Source organism: Homo sapiens, chromosome 3, assembly GCF_000001405.40.
Source record: "Homo sapiens chromosome 3, GRCh38.p14 Primary Assembly".
Classification (NCBI taxonomy): Eukaryota; Metazoa; Chordata; class Mammalia; order Primates; family Hominidae; genus Homo; species Homo sapiens.
In genome coordinates, this window is record NC_000003.12 from 122,547,193 (window position 1) to 122,563,475 (window position 16,283).

Genomic DNA, 16,283 nt, shown 5'->3' on the forward strand with positions numbered 1-16,283 from the left:
CAAGTGATTCTCCTGCCTCAGCCTCCCAAGGAGCTGGGATTACAGGCACGTACCACCATGCCCTTCTAAGTTTTGTATTTTTAGTAGAGCTGGGGTTTCACCATGTTGGCCAGACTGGTCTCGAATTCCTGACCTCAGGTGATCCGCCCAGCTCAGCCTCCCAAAGGGCTGGGATTACAGGCATGAGCCACCAAGCCCGGCCCCCTACGGCACTATTTTTATTATTAGTCCCTGGGGGAGCGCTCAGACCGTGGTTGATCTTTCCATTTTTCTTAAACTGTCATGCATATTTTTGTTTGTATGTTGGAGAGAATGAACCTTCTTTTCTAGATGTGGTTAATTCCTCTTGTATGAAAATGGTGCTTCATAAAGTTCAGGGGCTGGGCACGGTGGCTCACGTCTGTAATCCCAGAATTTTGGGAGGCTGAGGTGGGAGGATTACTTGAGTCCAGGAGTTTGAGATTGGCCTGGGCAACATAGTGAGACCCCACTTCCACAAAAAATAAAAGTATTAGCCAGGCATGGTGGCGCATGCCTGTAGGTCTAACTACTCAGGAGGCTGAGATGGGAGGATTGCTTGAGCCTGGGAGGCTGAGGCTTCAGGGAGTTATGATCACACCACTGCACTCCAGCCGAGGCAGCAGAGCGACATCCTGTCTCAAAAAAAAGGAAATTAAAAAAAGAAATAGTTCAGGGAGGTGATCAGGGCACCTATCTGGGCTTAGAGATAATCCTCTGCATGGGAAACTGATGAACTTCATCTGAAGGACAGGATTATTCATTTTATCAGAAGGTGAGCTACTTCCTTGGGTCATGCACCACCATCTCACCAGTTAGCTGTGGGTGAGGCGCAGTGGGATACTGGAGCTGGCATACAATGACTCAAGACAGCTTGCTGTGACCATCTCTTCTAAATCTGTTTTCAGTGATGTCATATCAACAGCTTGAAAGCAGCCACAGAAATCAGCAAATGCTACAAATCTCCCCGTGTTTAATTGGGCAGCAGAAGGAATAAGAACTTTTATACTTGCTCCAAGAAAGAGCAAGCTGGAACAAGTATAAATTCACTTCCATATAGGCAGAGATAAAATGGCAACCATGCACATAGAGCAGGCCAAGAGGTGGGAATATGAGCAGTCAGAGAACTAATGTTTGCAGCCACTCTCTGCAAGGCAAACCTTGCAAGGCCCTCTATATCCAAAATCCAGACACATGCCGAGAAGTCTCTCTAAAACTCGGATGTTGCTGTTGGCAGAATCAGAAACCTATATCTTGAAAACCTATTTTAGGTTGCTGTATCTTATTTCCTTTCCTTTTTATTCTTCCCTAACATCATTAAAGTCTTTCTCGAAAATGCCAGCTAAGTGAGAATAAAGCAGAGATGGTCGGTACTTTAAAGGCAGAACAGCACTGCAATATATACTAATTATGCTGAAAATATCACAGTTTATTCACATGCTAGGAACTCAGCTTGATCTGTCCACCCAAACAAAAAGCTGAGATGAAGTGCACTCAGACACATAAGACAAGCTCCCCTCCAACACATGGACCCCAAATGTGTTAGACCACAGCTGATTTCCTTCCGAGGTCACCTACAGATGAGCTAAAAAAGAATGGGTTGAATTTGAGGGCAGTACTGGAGACATGGCAAAACTAGCCAGGCATACCACTGCTGTTAAAGAAATTGGAAAGAAAAGATAAACAATTCACTGAATTTAGTAACAATTCAGCACTCAGTGAACTACAGCTCATTACAGTTGATGTAACAGCTAACCTTCTACTCTGTGCTAGGTACTATTCTAAGTGTTTTACAGGTATTAACTCATTTTTTTTTTTTTTGAGATGGAGTTTCACTCTTGTTGCCCAAGCCCGGGTGCAATGGTGCGATCTCAGCTCACTCCAACCTCCGCCTCCTGGGTTCAAGCAATTCTCCTGCCTCAGCCTCCCGAGTAGCTGGGATTACAGGTGTGTGCCACCACGCCTGGCTAATTTTTTGTATTTTTAGTAGAAACGGGATTTCATCATGTTAGCTACACTGGTCTCAAACTCGTGACCTCAGATGATCCGCCTGCCTCAGCCTCCCAAAGTGCTGGGATTACAGGCGTGAGCCACCTCACCCACCTGTATTAACTCATTTCATCTTCACAACAGCTCCATAAGATGGTAATCAGTATCCCTCTTTTAAGGATGAGGAAACTGAGGCACAGATAAGTAAACTAACTTGCCCAAGGTTATATAGCCAGCGAGAGGCAAAGCTGAGACTGATGGGGATTTTAGAGGGAAAACTGATTGAGGAGGAGAAGACAGGCCAGGCATATTGGCTCACACCTATTATCCCAGAGCTTTGGGAGGCTGAGATGGGAAGATCACTTGAGCCCAGGAGCTCAAGACCAGATTGGGCAACATAGTAAGACTGCTTTTCTACAAAAAATTTAAAAATTAGCCAGGCATGGTAGCATGTGCCTGTAGTGCCTGCTACTCAAGAGGCTGGAGTGGGAGGATCACTTGAGCCCAGGAGTTCAAGACTGCAGTGAGCTATGATTGTGCCACTGCACTCCAGCCTGAGCAACAGAGCAAGATCACATCTGTTTAAAAAAAAAAAGAGAGAGAGAGAGAAGACAAAGAATTTGCCTTAAATACACTGGATTTGAGATGACGGTCAGAGATCCAAGTGGAAATGAGAGAGGATTGGCTAAGAAGACAGGACTTCACAGAAGTTGTAAGAACAGTTGTGTTCTTGAAGGGAGAGAGATGAGAGAGGGGCAAGGACCCCACACTGAAACTAGAAGGTTGCTTACCTTTAAGGAGCAGAGGGAAGAATAAGTGCCATTAAAAGAAAAGACAGAAGCTAGGTAGTGGGTAAACATGGCTTCTTTGTTTTTTGTTTTGTTTTGTTTTGTTTTTGAGATGGAGTTTCACTCTTGTTGCTCAGGCTGGAGTACAATGGCGTGATCTCGGCTCACCACAATCTCCGCCTCCCAGGTTCAAGCTATTCTCTTGCCTCAGCCTCCCTAGTAGCTGGGATTAAAGGCATGTGCCACCACGCCCAGCTAATTTTGTATTTTTAGTAGAGACAGGGTTTCTCCATGTTGGTCAGGTTGGTCTAGAACTCCCGACCTCAGGTGATCCGCCTGCCTCCGCCTCCCAGAGTGCTGGGATTACAGGTGTGAGCCACCGTGTCTTGCCAAACATGGCTTCTATAATGACATGTTTTACTAGGTCAGAGGTGGACAATCTGTAAAAATTAAACTTCACCAAGTTAGAACACCACCACACTGTACAGCACCTAGCCCTGCATCCCCTGCATCTTACATTGTAGATACTAAACAGATGTTGCTGAATGAATGAATGAATGAATGAACAGTAGGACATTTCTAAGATATTAACTTACCTTATATATCTCCAAATCTGTTGGAAAGATCACAAATTTTACAGTTAACTGGTGTTTTACATGGTCTTTGGCAAATGTTAAAACTTCATCAAACAAAATCTCTGCTGCTGTTTCCTTCTTTATTTCCATGTTTCCAGTCCCAAGGGCAGGAAAGGAAATGGAAGTTATATTTTGCTCAATGCATTTTTCCAAACACTCCTTCATTGCATGTTTTAATATCTGCAGGAAAACACAAATTTAAGATCAGCATTTGAGTCAAGAACAAGACTCCACTTACCCCTTGATCCTGCCCATATTTTACAATGTCCACCTTCACCCTCCCTCAGGGTTCGTGTCCCTGCCTCCTCAGATGACAGGAAAGGTCCCACTCCAGAGGGAACCCATTATGGTATAAGGTTAGATGGTGAGAAACTGAAGCAATAGAGTGGCCATCTTGTGCTATTCAGGACATGAGGGCACTAGAATTTCTCCCAGTTTATATAGCCTTACCCATCCCCCCAGGTCAGAGAGCCAACCATCTGTTTACCCCATTCACCTGCCCCTTCCAGGTCAACGTCAAGAGCCCTTGAATTTTCATAAAGGAGATCGAGATTAAAATAAGAAAGCAGCACTTATTCAACATCATTAAGATCTATCATGTAATTTCTCTTGGAGAAATGCTAATATTTTTGGCAGATTTAAATTTCTACCAACTGTTAACATCAAAGTAATACAGGAATGTTGCCCATGGAAGGACTTTGGAAAACTGAGGGATAGAGGGAGACTAGAGGACCAGTTTGGGATTAGAGAGCTCTCAAGAAGGGACCAGAAATGGTGAAGAAGAAAGATAGACAAAGGCAGAGAAGGGGATTAAGTTTCCCTCTTTTCACCATCTGAGTGGGTTCCTCCTATTCTTTAATGCTTTTATTTTATTTTATTTTATATTTTATTTTTTGAGACAGAGTCTCACTCTGTCATCCAGGCTAGAGGGCAGTGGCGCGATCTCGGCTCACTGCAACCTTTGCCTCCTGAGTTCGTTAATGCTTGTATTTTATGTGCCTCAGTGGAGAGTGGGCTAGACAGCCAGGCTCCACTGCAGGCATGGGTGGGAAGAGACCTCAGGTAATAGATTTGATTGGAATGATGCTGGAGGGGGAACCCCAGCTGCTCCAGGAATATAACACATGGAGGGACATAAGAGGCTGAATCCCTTGCCTACTTAGGAAAAGGCCAACGAGGTCACTGGGTATGTTGGGGTGAACCAGTGTTCAGACTGAGGGAATACTAGTTTCAGTGTCTATCTGCAGTATGCCTACTTAAAATTTAGACATGGGTTAGGTAACATTTTAAACTTCTTTGTTGTTTTGTTTGTTTTTTGAGACAGTCTCTGTCACCCAGGCTAGAGTGCAGCAGTGTGATCACAGCTCACTGCAGCCTCAATCTCCTGGGCTCAAGTGATCCTCCTACCTCAGCCTCCCGAGTAGCTGGGACTACAGGTGTGCACCACCACACCTGGCTAATTTTTTTTTTCTTTTTGGTAGAGATGGGGGTCTTGCTATGTTGCTTAGGCTGGTCTCAGACTCCTGGGCTCAAGTGATCCTCCCACCTTGGCCTCCCAAAGCGCTGGACTCACAGGCATGAGCCACTGCGACAGACCTAAATCAAACTTCTTAAGATAACTTATGGCAACTGTACCTGTTCAGTATTTCTGGTACTCGCAGGTGTGCTAAAAATTGAGAACTATACCACTTGACAAAATATTTCATGAATGTAATGAAATGATGGAAATTTGTTTAAAAAAAAAAGACTGTATAGACTATGGAGCTAAATAAAGCCACATTTATTTTAAACTTACCTGAGGTTTAGGAAATTCTGAATGCCACAGTACATGGTATATATATTTACAGAACAAGTTAAATCCTTTTGTGACCAGTACCAACTGGGACCGTTGAAACTGTTTAGCCTTTGTGGCAAGAAATTCCGATTTCATTTCAACTCCTGCTTGTTGTAGAATTGACTTTGCCACAGGTCCAACTGTAATATCATGTGGGTTTACAGAATTAACAATTACATCTGCCTGAAAAGGGAAGAAAGGGTAGGATTCATTGTTAAATTCCTTCTTCTTAAATGACTAATTTAAATCTTTACTTCCCTGAAGAGCTTTGAAAAATACTCTTTGAAGATCCTAAATTCTAAAAAATTTCATTAATAATGAATAGAAACTCGTATTTCCAAAGAGTGATTATTTGATTGCCATGAACGAAGCTGAATTACATAATTCAGAAATTATGTAAATGTACGGATGATATAATTTTCATTGCAAACATCTGTTTGCCCCTTGCTGTATTACCTTACCAGATGGCTAGATTCTGAGTATTCCCTGTGATTTGTTTTAAGTTCTGTCGATAAATGGTTTCATCTCTGCCCGACCACCATGACTTTTTGCTATTTCGTCGTGGGTTTTTGTTTTGTCTCGTTTTAAATAGGAAATAAAATTTCTTGGAGAATTTCCACCTTCTAATGTTTTTATGGTTTAAGGTATAAGAAACTTAACAAGGTTAAAGAAACTCCAAATGGGACAAAAAGGTCTTCAATGAAAAGTAGGTCCCCTTCTTGGTCAGGTTCCCAGACCCCCCCACTCACCCACCCATCTTATGTGCAACCAAGTTCTTCATCTCTCTCTTCAGAAATAGACTGTACATATACATGAGCTGTACTTTAGATAACATCGTCTCCTAGTTAACCCTCAGAGCTGTGCTAAAAATGATAGTGTCCTTCCTTCCCCCATGCCCAGATTCCCCTAATCATTCTATTGACTTTGGCTCCCTTTCAGGGTAACTCAGGTATTTCTTCACTGATGTTAATGAATGCTTCATTTTGAAAGCACAATTAGAATTTGCAATTTGGGGGCACCGACACCCTTTAAAAATTGTAATGTTCCTAACGTTGCTGGCAATAAATATACCTTAAAAAATTCAGTTAAAGGGATAAGTTACTCAACTAGGATGCTTCCATTTTAGTTTTAAATTTGTGTGTTAATGACTTCTCAAATATTTCATTTCATGAACTCCCCTCAGTCTTCCCTCTAATTGTCTTATAGGCAATAAGTGTTATTGGTTTGTTTGTTTTACCAGTGTCTAAGACTATTTGATTGTGGTCACGAGAGTCTTAAGTGTGACATCACTGATCCAGAAGAAAAAAAAAGAATAAAGCCTTATATTCATTCTCACCCTCTGTTGTGGTGCCTTCTCCCTCCTGCCCCCTCCACTTATTTATCTTTAATTTGCTGAACCCTTAGATGCATGCCCAGACCAGGCCTTGAGGCTATAGGGATGAATAAGCCAAGATCTCCATCTTTAAGGTGCTCTCCGTCTAGCAGGGGAGCTGCACTGACTCAGAAATACCTAGGTTCACCGCTACCCTGACTCCTTCCCCTTCCCTGCCAGCATCCTCACCTTTGTGCCCAGTGACCCCCAGCTAAATGCTTAGTTGCACCTTGCATTCTCCACAGCCCCTGGCAGAGTTATATTCTGTGTATAAACACACAGACTATGACTTAGAGCTCCACCTGTGTCTCCTGACTGTAGTCAAGCCCATTATTTTCTGTCAATTCCTCTGCATCTCTCTGATCAAGTCACTCTGACCACCCAGAAAGCTTCCCCTCCTGCCAATCATACCCATCGAAACTTGAGATCACATTCAAAACTCATACCTTCTGAAGCAATCTTTCTTGGTCCACTATACTCCACTCTTGTCACAAATTTACATACTCTTAAGTATTATTTTTGTTTACTATTGATAGGTTGCTTCAGAAATGTTGAGATGGTTTTTCTCCCCAGAGAGATTTTTCAAATAAAGAATATTTTTATAATAAAGAATATAATTGATTTTAGGTTCCTTGGGATCAAAGATTGTTCTAATTCCTCCGGGTGCCTAAGATAATAGCAACAGCCATAATAATGATAAATACTTATTATGTGCCAAGCACTACTCTAAGCATTTTATGTATATTGATCCCAGCTCTAAGATATAAATGCTATTATTATCCTCAATGTACAAATGAGGAAACTGAAGAACAAAAGATAAAGTAACTTGCTTTGGGTTACCCAGTTAATAAATAGCAAAGCTGGTATTCAAATCCAGATGGCCTGGCACTGAATGCTATATTATTATTATTATTATTTTTAGAGTCAAAGTCAAAGTCTTGCTCTGTTGCCCTGGCAGGAATCACTGCAGCCTTGAACTCATGGGCTCAAGTGCGCCTCCTGCCTTAGTCTCCCAAAGTAGTTGGGACTACAGATGTGCATCACCATGCCCTGATAATTTTTTTTTTTTTTTGAGACAGGGTCTTGCTATGTTCCTCAGGCTGGTCTTGAACACCTGGGCTCAAGTGATCCTCCTGTCTCAACCTCCCAAAGTGCTGGGATTATAGGCATGAGCCACCATGACCAGCCTATTTTAAAAAAAAACTTAAATTAAAATTTTTTAAAGAGATGGGGTCTGGGTATGTTGCCTAGGCTGGCCTCCAACTCCTGGGCTCAAATGGTCCTCCAACCTCAGGCTCTCAAGTAGCTGGGTTACAGGCATGTACCACTGCATCTGGCTCATATTCTTAATCCAAACAAGATGGTTTCTACATAGTGTTGCATAGTGTACACTCAAAAATTATTTAATTTTCAGGGATCACCTGTGCCAGTGCAAGAGAATAGAAACAAAGACTTACCGTCTGCCATTCAATGTGGCCCTGGACAATCTGGAGGGTCAGGTTGTTCACGACCATTGCATTGAAAGAAGGGGTGGTTTCTTGTCCCAGCTCACTCTTCCCTAGGATGAATTCTGAAGCAGCTTTAAAGGCAGCAACAGTAGGGTCCTCATTGCTCACCAGGTGAATTTCTTTCAAATTACTCATCATTGGCTTCCCTTGCAAACTAACCCGGATAGTCTCTACAATAGTCTTTGTACACAAATTCAGAGGGAACTGAAAAATCCCAGAGCTCAAGGCTGGAATTGCTACTGTCTTAATGTGAGTATTTTTATAGATGACATAATTCAGAATACTTACAATGGCCCTCTGCAGCTTTCCAGTACATCCCTGTTTATCCCATTCCATCCACCGAGGCCCAACAGCATGGATGATCTGTTTGCAGGGAAGCCTCCCTGCTCCCGTGACAGCTATCTCACCAGCTGACACTTTACCATATCTGGCAACAAACTGTTTGCTCTCTTCTTGGATTTCAAATCCACCAGCTTTTACCAGGGCCAGGGCCAGGCCTCCCCCATGCAGAAGATCTTCATTGGCTGCATTCACCACAGCATCAACAGCATGTGTGGTGAGGTCATCTTTCCAGACTGATAACTCTATCCTAGGAGTCAGCATTTTTCTGAACACTTGCAGAGATTTGCTGTTGCCTTCCTGAACTGGAGAGACCAGGGTAGAGATACAGCCAAACTTATTCTGGAGGACTTCACACAGCTGACGCTCATTATTTTTTAAAATTTTGAAGTCATTGTGGTTAATGGGAATTTGCCAACTATAGTTTTCTCCAAGAGCACCAGTCTCTGGAAAAGAAGAGAAGATTAAAAAAAAAAAAAAAAAAAAAAAAAAAAAAAAGCACAGTTTGAAAGGTTGTAATCCCACTTCATACCAGGAGACTGTGTTTCCTATGTGCAAAAGAGAGATGAACTTCATGTAGTGCTCTTCATGATTCTTCTTCTCAACTACACATATAATTAGACCACGGACATCTAAGAGTTTTCAGTGGTAGGTCACCCATAAAGTGCATAGTCTTGTGCCTGGCATATATTAAGTACTCCATAAGTGGTAGTTACTATGATGCAGTGATGATGGTAGGAAAACCATGTATATGGGGGCTTGTGAATTTTTAAAAATATATATAAAAGTGGCGAGCTTAGAAAGACCAATGCTTAGGGCACAGGTATTGGAAGGGACTTAATTATGAGCCAAAATAGGCGGAGGTTTTATAACTTTTTTGCCTTTGTCAGCATCTAAGTTTATGTTTTCTTAAGAGTAGACCCTGAGACAAAGATGTGAATGTAAGTAGTTTATTTGGGAGGTGATCCTAGGAAATACTAGGGCCTTGGGGTGGGGAGGGCAGGCTGGGAAAGTAAGACAAATGAACAAAGCACGTGTAACTAGGCAGATGGAACTTAACTCTACTGGGAAACAGTGTAGATCTTGTGCCTCAGGGTTATACCACTGGAGGGGTAGTAACCACAGGAGCTGGAGTATTTATCCAACTTCTTTTTCTTTTGAGACAGGGTCTCACTGTGTTGCTCAGGCTGCAGTGTAGTGATGCAGTCTTGGCTCACTGCAACTTCTGCCTCCTATGCTCAAGCCATCCTCCCACCTCAGCCTCCTGAGTAGCCAGGGCTACAGGCTCACAGCACTACACCCACACCATCGTGTCCAGCTAATTTCCGTATTTTTTTCTGTAGAGATGGGGTTTCACCATATTGCCTAGGCTGGTCTCAAACTCCTGATTTCAAGCAATCTGCCCACCTGGGCCGATTGAAATAAGGTAGTATACCTGTTATCAATTGATGGTAAGCCCCAGTTTAGCTGGCATTTTTTCCCCTTTCTCAGAGGCATTTCCCAGAGTGCTCCAAAAGATTCAAGCAATCTGCCCACCTGGGTGGCTTCAAAAAGGCCACCATGCCTGGCCTACCCAACTTCTATTGGTCATTGATTGAGGCAGTTCCCTGGTGAGGAGGAGTAGGGGAGACATTGGACCAGCCAATGAGCACTGATACTGTCTGCTTCAGTTCAGTAAATAATTCTTTATGATATTCTAGTCTGGCACAATTTTGGTGAAATTAAAACTAATTGACTAAAAATTATTTACCGTATGTGGCAGACAAGAAGATGTGCTACTCAGATCTCCCTGCGATTGGCTATGAAGTGGGAAATACAGTTAGCTGACAGCCTCCAGCTGTTAGCCCCTCAGGGTTCATCTCAGCTTTCAGCCAAGGTCATGCTATTCTCAGGGCAGCCTCCATCAGTAGCTGAGCAAGGCCATTCATGCCCAACGTGGGACACCTCTAACAGTCAATCTCAGGCTTGCAGAGACTGTCGGGTTTTTATTACAGTCTGATGGCTAGTCTGCCCAGTCCGGCTTCCTCTCTTTACCTTTCACAGTGAATTTTTTGCACTCCTAATTCCATCTCAAATTCTGCTTCCTGGAGGACCCAGCTTGGGACACTGTATTTCATGGTGTCTAAGATATTGTTGTTACAATGCCTCTGAGAAAGGGAAAAAAATGCCAACTAAACTGGGGCATACCATCAATTGATAACAGGTACACTACCTTATTTCAGTATTGTTAAAATGTGAAAAAAAAATGTGCATCCTAAAATAGATAAAATGTGATCATTACTTTTATTTTGCTTCAACTCCCATTTCTAATCTGAGTCTCCTAGAAAGACCTCTTGTGGCCTCAATTACCCAAACGAAGCCGGAATTGGGTAGTCAGGCCCTATTGGCCTGAGCTTTGGTTGAAAATCTTTAATGGGGGACCCCTGGAATTAGGCCAGAACTATTTAGCTTGTATAGTACTCGTTGAGCAAGGAGACAATCAGTTGGCCACCCCATCTGGTCAATTCAGCCATAGGCTGTCGTTAAAAGAGTCTCACATTTACGGGCAAAGGAGAGGAATGGTGTAGGCCTTGAGAGAATATGCCTGCTGGTCGGTGCCACACCAACTCTGAAGCATGTGCGGGGGTCCCCACAAGGGTCTGCAGTCACGCACCTGAGCACTTGTAGGGGAGACATTCTTCTGTATTCCCCTTTCTCCACTGAGGAAAGATCTGAGCAAAGACTTTCTGAAACAAGAGTGAGAGCGAGGTAATCCTACCTGATTTTTCATTGTAAGCTGCTGCTCCGGCCACCTGTGAAAAATGAGAATGGCTTTCTTAAAAAATGGAAGTGGAATGACTACAGCTTACTGATAACCAATACACCCTAGTAAACACAATGCAATGGAAATCCTGCTCAAAGCACTGTGTTTGGGAGGGCAGGAAGCATGTGTTTTTTTAAATCTGCATGCCCGAAACACTTAAAATACTAAATGTGCCAGCAAACATTGGCCCTATGTCATTTCCCTAGGGGCCGATGCATTTCTTTTTTTAAATTTAATTTTATTGTTTTTCGAGACAAGGTTTCACTCTGTCACCCAGGCTGGAGTGCAGTGGTGCAATCACAGTTCACTGCAGCCTTGAACTCCTGGGCTGAAGCAATCCTCCCATCTCAGTCTCCTGAATAGCTGGGACTACAGGCATGCACCACCATGCCCAGCTAATTGTTTTTACTTTTTTAGAGATGAGCGGAGTCTTGCTATGTTGACCAGGCTGGTCTCGAACTACTGATTTCAAGTGATCCTCCTGGCTTCAGCCTCTGTAGTAACTGGGATTATAGGCGCCAGCCACCGCCAATGCATCTCAGTGCATCTCATTCTAATTCAGAATGAGATGAGGTTTAGAGATCAACACTTTAAAAGGCCCAAAAGTCACAGACCAAAATGACCCCAAACTCTCAGATAGACTCCAATCTCCAAAAGCTCATGGGGTTTCTCTAGACAGAAGACCTGGGGACATGAGCCTCATCAGCTCTGTCTCTCATCCACCAGCAAGGATCCACTTTTAATTGCCTTTGTCATGGTACAAACCTTAATGTGGAATTTTCAAGTTTAGTAAGTGACTTCTAATCTGATCTTTCTCTATTCCCTTCTTTTCATTCATCCTCTATTACTCTCCTTACCCCAACCCGAAAAAGCAGAATCACTAAATGAGCTGAGAATTAAAATGATTCTGAAAAATCATCCAGCTTCAAGTTGACACTATTTATTAGATTAGCATATTCTTGATTCCCCATTTCTCAAGAAGGGAGAAAGGAGAAAACTTTATTGAGCTATTAAAAGCAGATGAGGATGTCAACTGTTGGTGAACACCCCAGATTTCTTGCTGTTATATAAAGAAGTATTCATGTGCTGATCAAGGTTCATGACGTATACACATTTATGCTTTTTACCATGGAAAAGTCCATCCTCCAGGTCCCCGGGGGAGTCTTTAAATGTTTATTCCCTTTTGCGCTTCAAAGCATAGACTGTAGTTTCCAGATATGGTGGCCCACTTCTAGGAATGAATTAGAAAAGATGCAATAAACATTAGCCAGAATCTTAGGAAATTCGGTAAGAATATACTGTAGGAGGACTGAACATGATTTCTGATCTTGATGAGTTCTTAATTTCCTTGATAACGATGTACACATTGTTTTGCTGTTGTTGTTACTGTTTGCCTTCTACCCTTTCCAAGAGAGGTTCCAGTGGAAATCATAATGGCAGTTCAGAGAAGGGAAAATGCTCTACGACCTGGAACAGGAAAAGCTATATGGAGGAGTTGAGACTAGAGCCTGGTCATGAAGGATGCAGGAGGTTTTTACATATTTAGAAGAAGAGGGTGATAACAAAGTGGTGAGACTGAGAACAGCATTCAAAGAACAGTAAAGAAGACCGAGCTTATGAGTGAGTGAAGCCCCCTGGAGAGCGTTTGAAGAAAGAGGAAATGCCACTAGAGCCTGTGAGGGGGGTGTATTATTGAATTTGTGATAAACATCCTTGACCTAATGATAGGGGTATATCTGGTTAAAAGTCAGAAAATCTGGGAAAAATACTTTGTTATGATTTTCCATCTAATAGGTAGGAATTAAAGATTATGAATTTTTAGAAGACTGATGATGAAAATGCTTAAAGATACAGTTGCCCACACTTGTTGCTATATTTAGGCCTCGAAATGATTTCTTTGTTTGTTTTTTTGTTTGTTTTTTTGTTTTTTGAGTTGGAGTCTCACTCTGTCCCCCAGGAATGCAGTGGCTCGATCTTGGCTCACTGCAAGCTCCGCCTCCTGGGTTCACGCCATTCTCCTGCCTCAGCCTCCTGAGTAGCTGGGACTACAGGCGCCCGCCACCACGCCCAGCTAATTTTTTGTATTTTTAGTAGAGATGAGGCTTCACCGTGTTAGCCAGCACGGTCTCAATCTCCTGACCTCGTGATCTACCCGTCTCGGCCTCCCAAAGTGCTGGGATTACAGGCGTGAGCGACCGCGCCTGGTCGAAATGATTTCTAATGTCTTTGCAATAGAAACATTTTGTACAACCATCTACAGCATCAGAGCACTATTCTTACTCATCAAGGGAAAGCAGCAGGTCTAGTACAATCCTTTGCATTCTAAAATGCAAAGACAAGATGCATTTTTTGCCTCCAGAGGGCACTGCTGTTTTCAAAAAAGAAGGATGACTTCATCTGCTTTGGCCATGGGCTTTTGCTTTAAATGTTGCACCTGTTTCTGTCTTCAGGCCAAGTTTTACAGGCCTATGGATAGCCAAACAAGGAGCATAGTGCCCTAAGCATTCCATTTCTTCCATTTTAAAAACAGAAAAGCCTTCCCAACTTTCCATCACTGGTTCCTACTGTGTTTCCTTCTCTTCATAAGCAGCCAAACTTCTGGAATGAGTAGTGGACTCTCCTTCTGTCCACCTGCCCACTCAGCCTACTATAACCTGGCTCCCTGCCTCATTCCCAGCACCCTTTTGAAACTGCCAGTGGCCAGGCATGGCGGCTCACACCTGTAACCACAGCACTTTGGGAGGCAGAGGCAGGCAGATTGCTTGAGCTCAGGAGTTCGAGACCAACCTGGGCAACATGGCAAGACCTCATCTCTACTAAAAATACAAAAAGTTAGCTGGCCATGTTGGTGCATGCCTATAGTCCCAGCTACTTGGGAGGCTGAGATGGGAGGATCACTTGGTGGGAAGTTCAGGCTGTAGTGAGCTGTGATTGTGCCACTGCACTCCAGCCTGGGCAAGAGGAATGAGACCCTGTCTCAAAAAAAAGAAGAGAAACTGCTCATCAGAATCCCTCATGTGGTTAATGCCAATGGATTATCTTCTATCCATCTTTACTGGACCACTTTCTATAGTATTTCACTCTTTGATTCCTGAAATTCTGCTTTCCTGGCTTCTCCTATGCCATCTTCCCTTGGTTCTTCTATTACCCTTCACTTTGCCTTTACAGGCCTTTTCCCTGCGTTCACTTCCACCATCTCCCTCTTAATTGTTTGCCCCAGGATTCTGTCTAAGGCGTTTTTCATCTCATTCTGCATACTCCCCAGGAGTGATCTCATCCATTTCCATGGCTTCAACTCACCAATTGCAAATATGACTCTTATATCTGCAGTTCTAGGCCATGGCTCTCCTGAGCCCCATTTTTCAACTCCACCTGGAGGTCTCACAGTCCCCTCAAATTAGCCTCTGCAAAAGTAGACCTCTTATCTCCTGGTCCCCAATCCTCCATCCCACCCCCACCAAATCCATACTTTATCTCCTGGATTCTACAGCTCAGTAAATGATAATACCATTTACGTACTCAAATCAGAAATCTAGGAACTTTCCCTGAGTCTTTTTTGTCTCATATCTGGGACCTGACAAACTAAATCACTTTCAAATATGCCCCTTCCTTCCTCGCCCACTGACACTGCCTCACTTCAGAGTCTCAGCAACTTTTGCCTGAGCTGTGGCAATATACTCTTTTCTTTTCTTTTCTTTTCTTTTCTTTTCTTTTCTTTTCTTTTCTTTTTGAGACGGAGTCTTACTCTGTCGCCCAGGCTGTGGCGCGATCTTGGCTCATTGGAAGCTCCGCCTCCCGGGTTCACGCCATTCTGCTGCCTCAGCCTCCCTAGTAGCTGGGACTACAGGCGCCCACCACCACGCCTGGCTAATTTTTTTTTTTTTTGTATTTTTTTTAGTAGAGACGGGGTTTCACCATGTTAGCCAGGATGGTCTCGATCTCCTGACCTCATGATCCGCCTGCCTTGGCCTCCCAAAGTGCTGGGATTACAGGCGTGAGCCACCGCGCCCAGCCATCAATATACTCTTTTCAAAGATTTAAATGTACCTAGTTTGACATTTTATTGTTTGAATAGGTATTACATTTACATGGTTCAAATTTAGAAAATGTAAAAGGTTTCCTCCTGTCTCCGCTGCTAAATTCCCTGTCCAGAGTCAATCAGCGCTTCTCCTGTATTCTTCCAGTGGCATTTTTTACACGAAAGGTAGTAGCTTATACACACACTTCTGCATCTTATTTTTCCCACATAATGTATCCTAGAGATCTTTTCATGTTAGCACATAGAGAGCTTTTTCATTTTTCCTACTGCCCATTGTATTCCATTGTATAGATATACTATTATTATTAAACTGCTAGTCCCCCTATTTATGGGCATTAAAGAGTTCCCTATCTTTTGCTATTGTAAACAAGGCTGTAAAGAACATCTTTGTACACAGGTCACTTCACACAGGGGCTAATATATCAATGGGACAAATTCCTAGAAATGGAACTCCAGAACCAAAAAGTATATGCAGTTGTAATTCTGACAGTATTGCCAAATTGTTCACAGTAAAGACGGGCCCATTTCCAGTCTTACCAGCCATGTGCAAAAACCTTATCTCAGGCCTCTCTGCCGCCACTCATCCCTGCTTGTAAATGTGTCCTCCACACGGTTGTCAGCACCATATTTCTAAAATGCAAATCTGGCAAGTCATTTTCTTGCTTTCCCTGCTTAAAGCCCTTCAGGTCATCTTCACTGCTCTTCAAGGCTTTTCACCATCTAAATATGTCCTGTCCAGGGTGGACTATCAGCCTCACATAGCTACTGAGGCTACATGTGGCCAGTCTGAATCGAGATGTGATGTAAGTATAAGAAAAACACTGGGTTGCAAAGACGTGGTATGATAAAAAGAATGTAAAAATCTCATTACATGCTGAAATGATTAAGTTTTGGATATGTCAAGCTAAATAACATCATTACAGTTAATTTCATCTGTTTCTTTATCCTTTAAAAATTT

General features: G+C 42.9%; 1 protein-coding gene and 1 long non-coding RNA gene across 33 annotated transcripts in view; one reads left to right on the plus strand and one right to left on the minus strand.

The window, feature by feature from the left end:
- Nucleotides 1–12,778, plus strand: part of LOC105374071 (uncharacterized) — a 34,072-nt gene extending 21,294 nt beyond the window's left edge. The window contains exon 5 of the long non-coding RNA XR_001740869.2: nt 12,698–12,778. This is a non-coding gene — a long non-coding RNA (uncharacterized LOC105374071). The remainder of the gene's footprint in view (nt 1–12,697) is intronic.
- PARP9 (poly(ADP-ribose) polymerase family member 9) overlaps nt 1–16,283 on the minus strand; it is a 36,861-nt gene that overhangs the window by 19,269 nt on the left and 1,309 nt on the right. For 15 of the 32 annotated variants that reach the window (NR_170857.1, NR_170858.1, NR_170864.1 and 12 more), the window contains exons 2-6: nt 12,414–12,517; nt 11,242–11,275; nt 8,094–8,929; nt 5,226–5,447; nt 3,392–3,610 (exon numbers count right to left, since the gene is read on the minus strand). Coding sequence is in view for 23 of the 32 variants with exons in the window: in NM_001146103.2 (NP_001139575.1) it covers nt 3,392–3,610; nt 5,226–5,447; nt 8,094–8,929; nt 11,242–11,275; nt 12,414–12,428 (1,326 nt within the window). In the remaining 9 variants the exon portion in view is untranslated. Of the gene's footprint in view, nt 1–3,391; nt 3,611–5,225; nt 5,448–8,093; nt 8,930–11,136; nt 11,276–12,413; nt 12,518–16,283 lie in introns of all 32 variants that reach the window. The other 17 variants (NR_170859.1, NM_001387875.1, NM_001387876.1 and 14 more) reach the window with 5 other exon arrangements.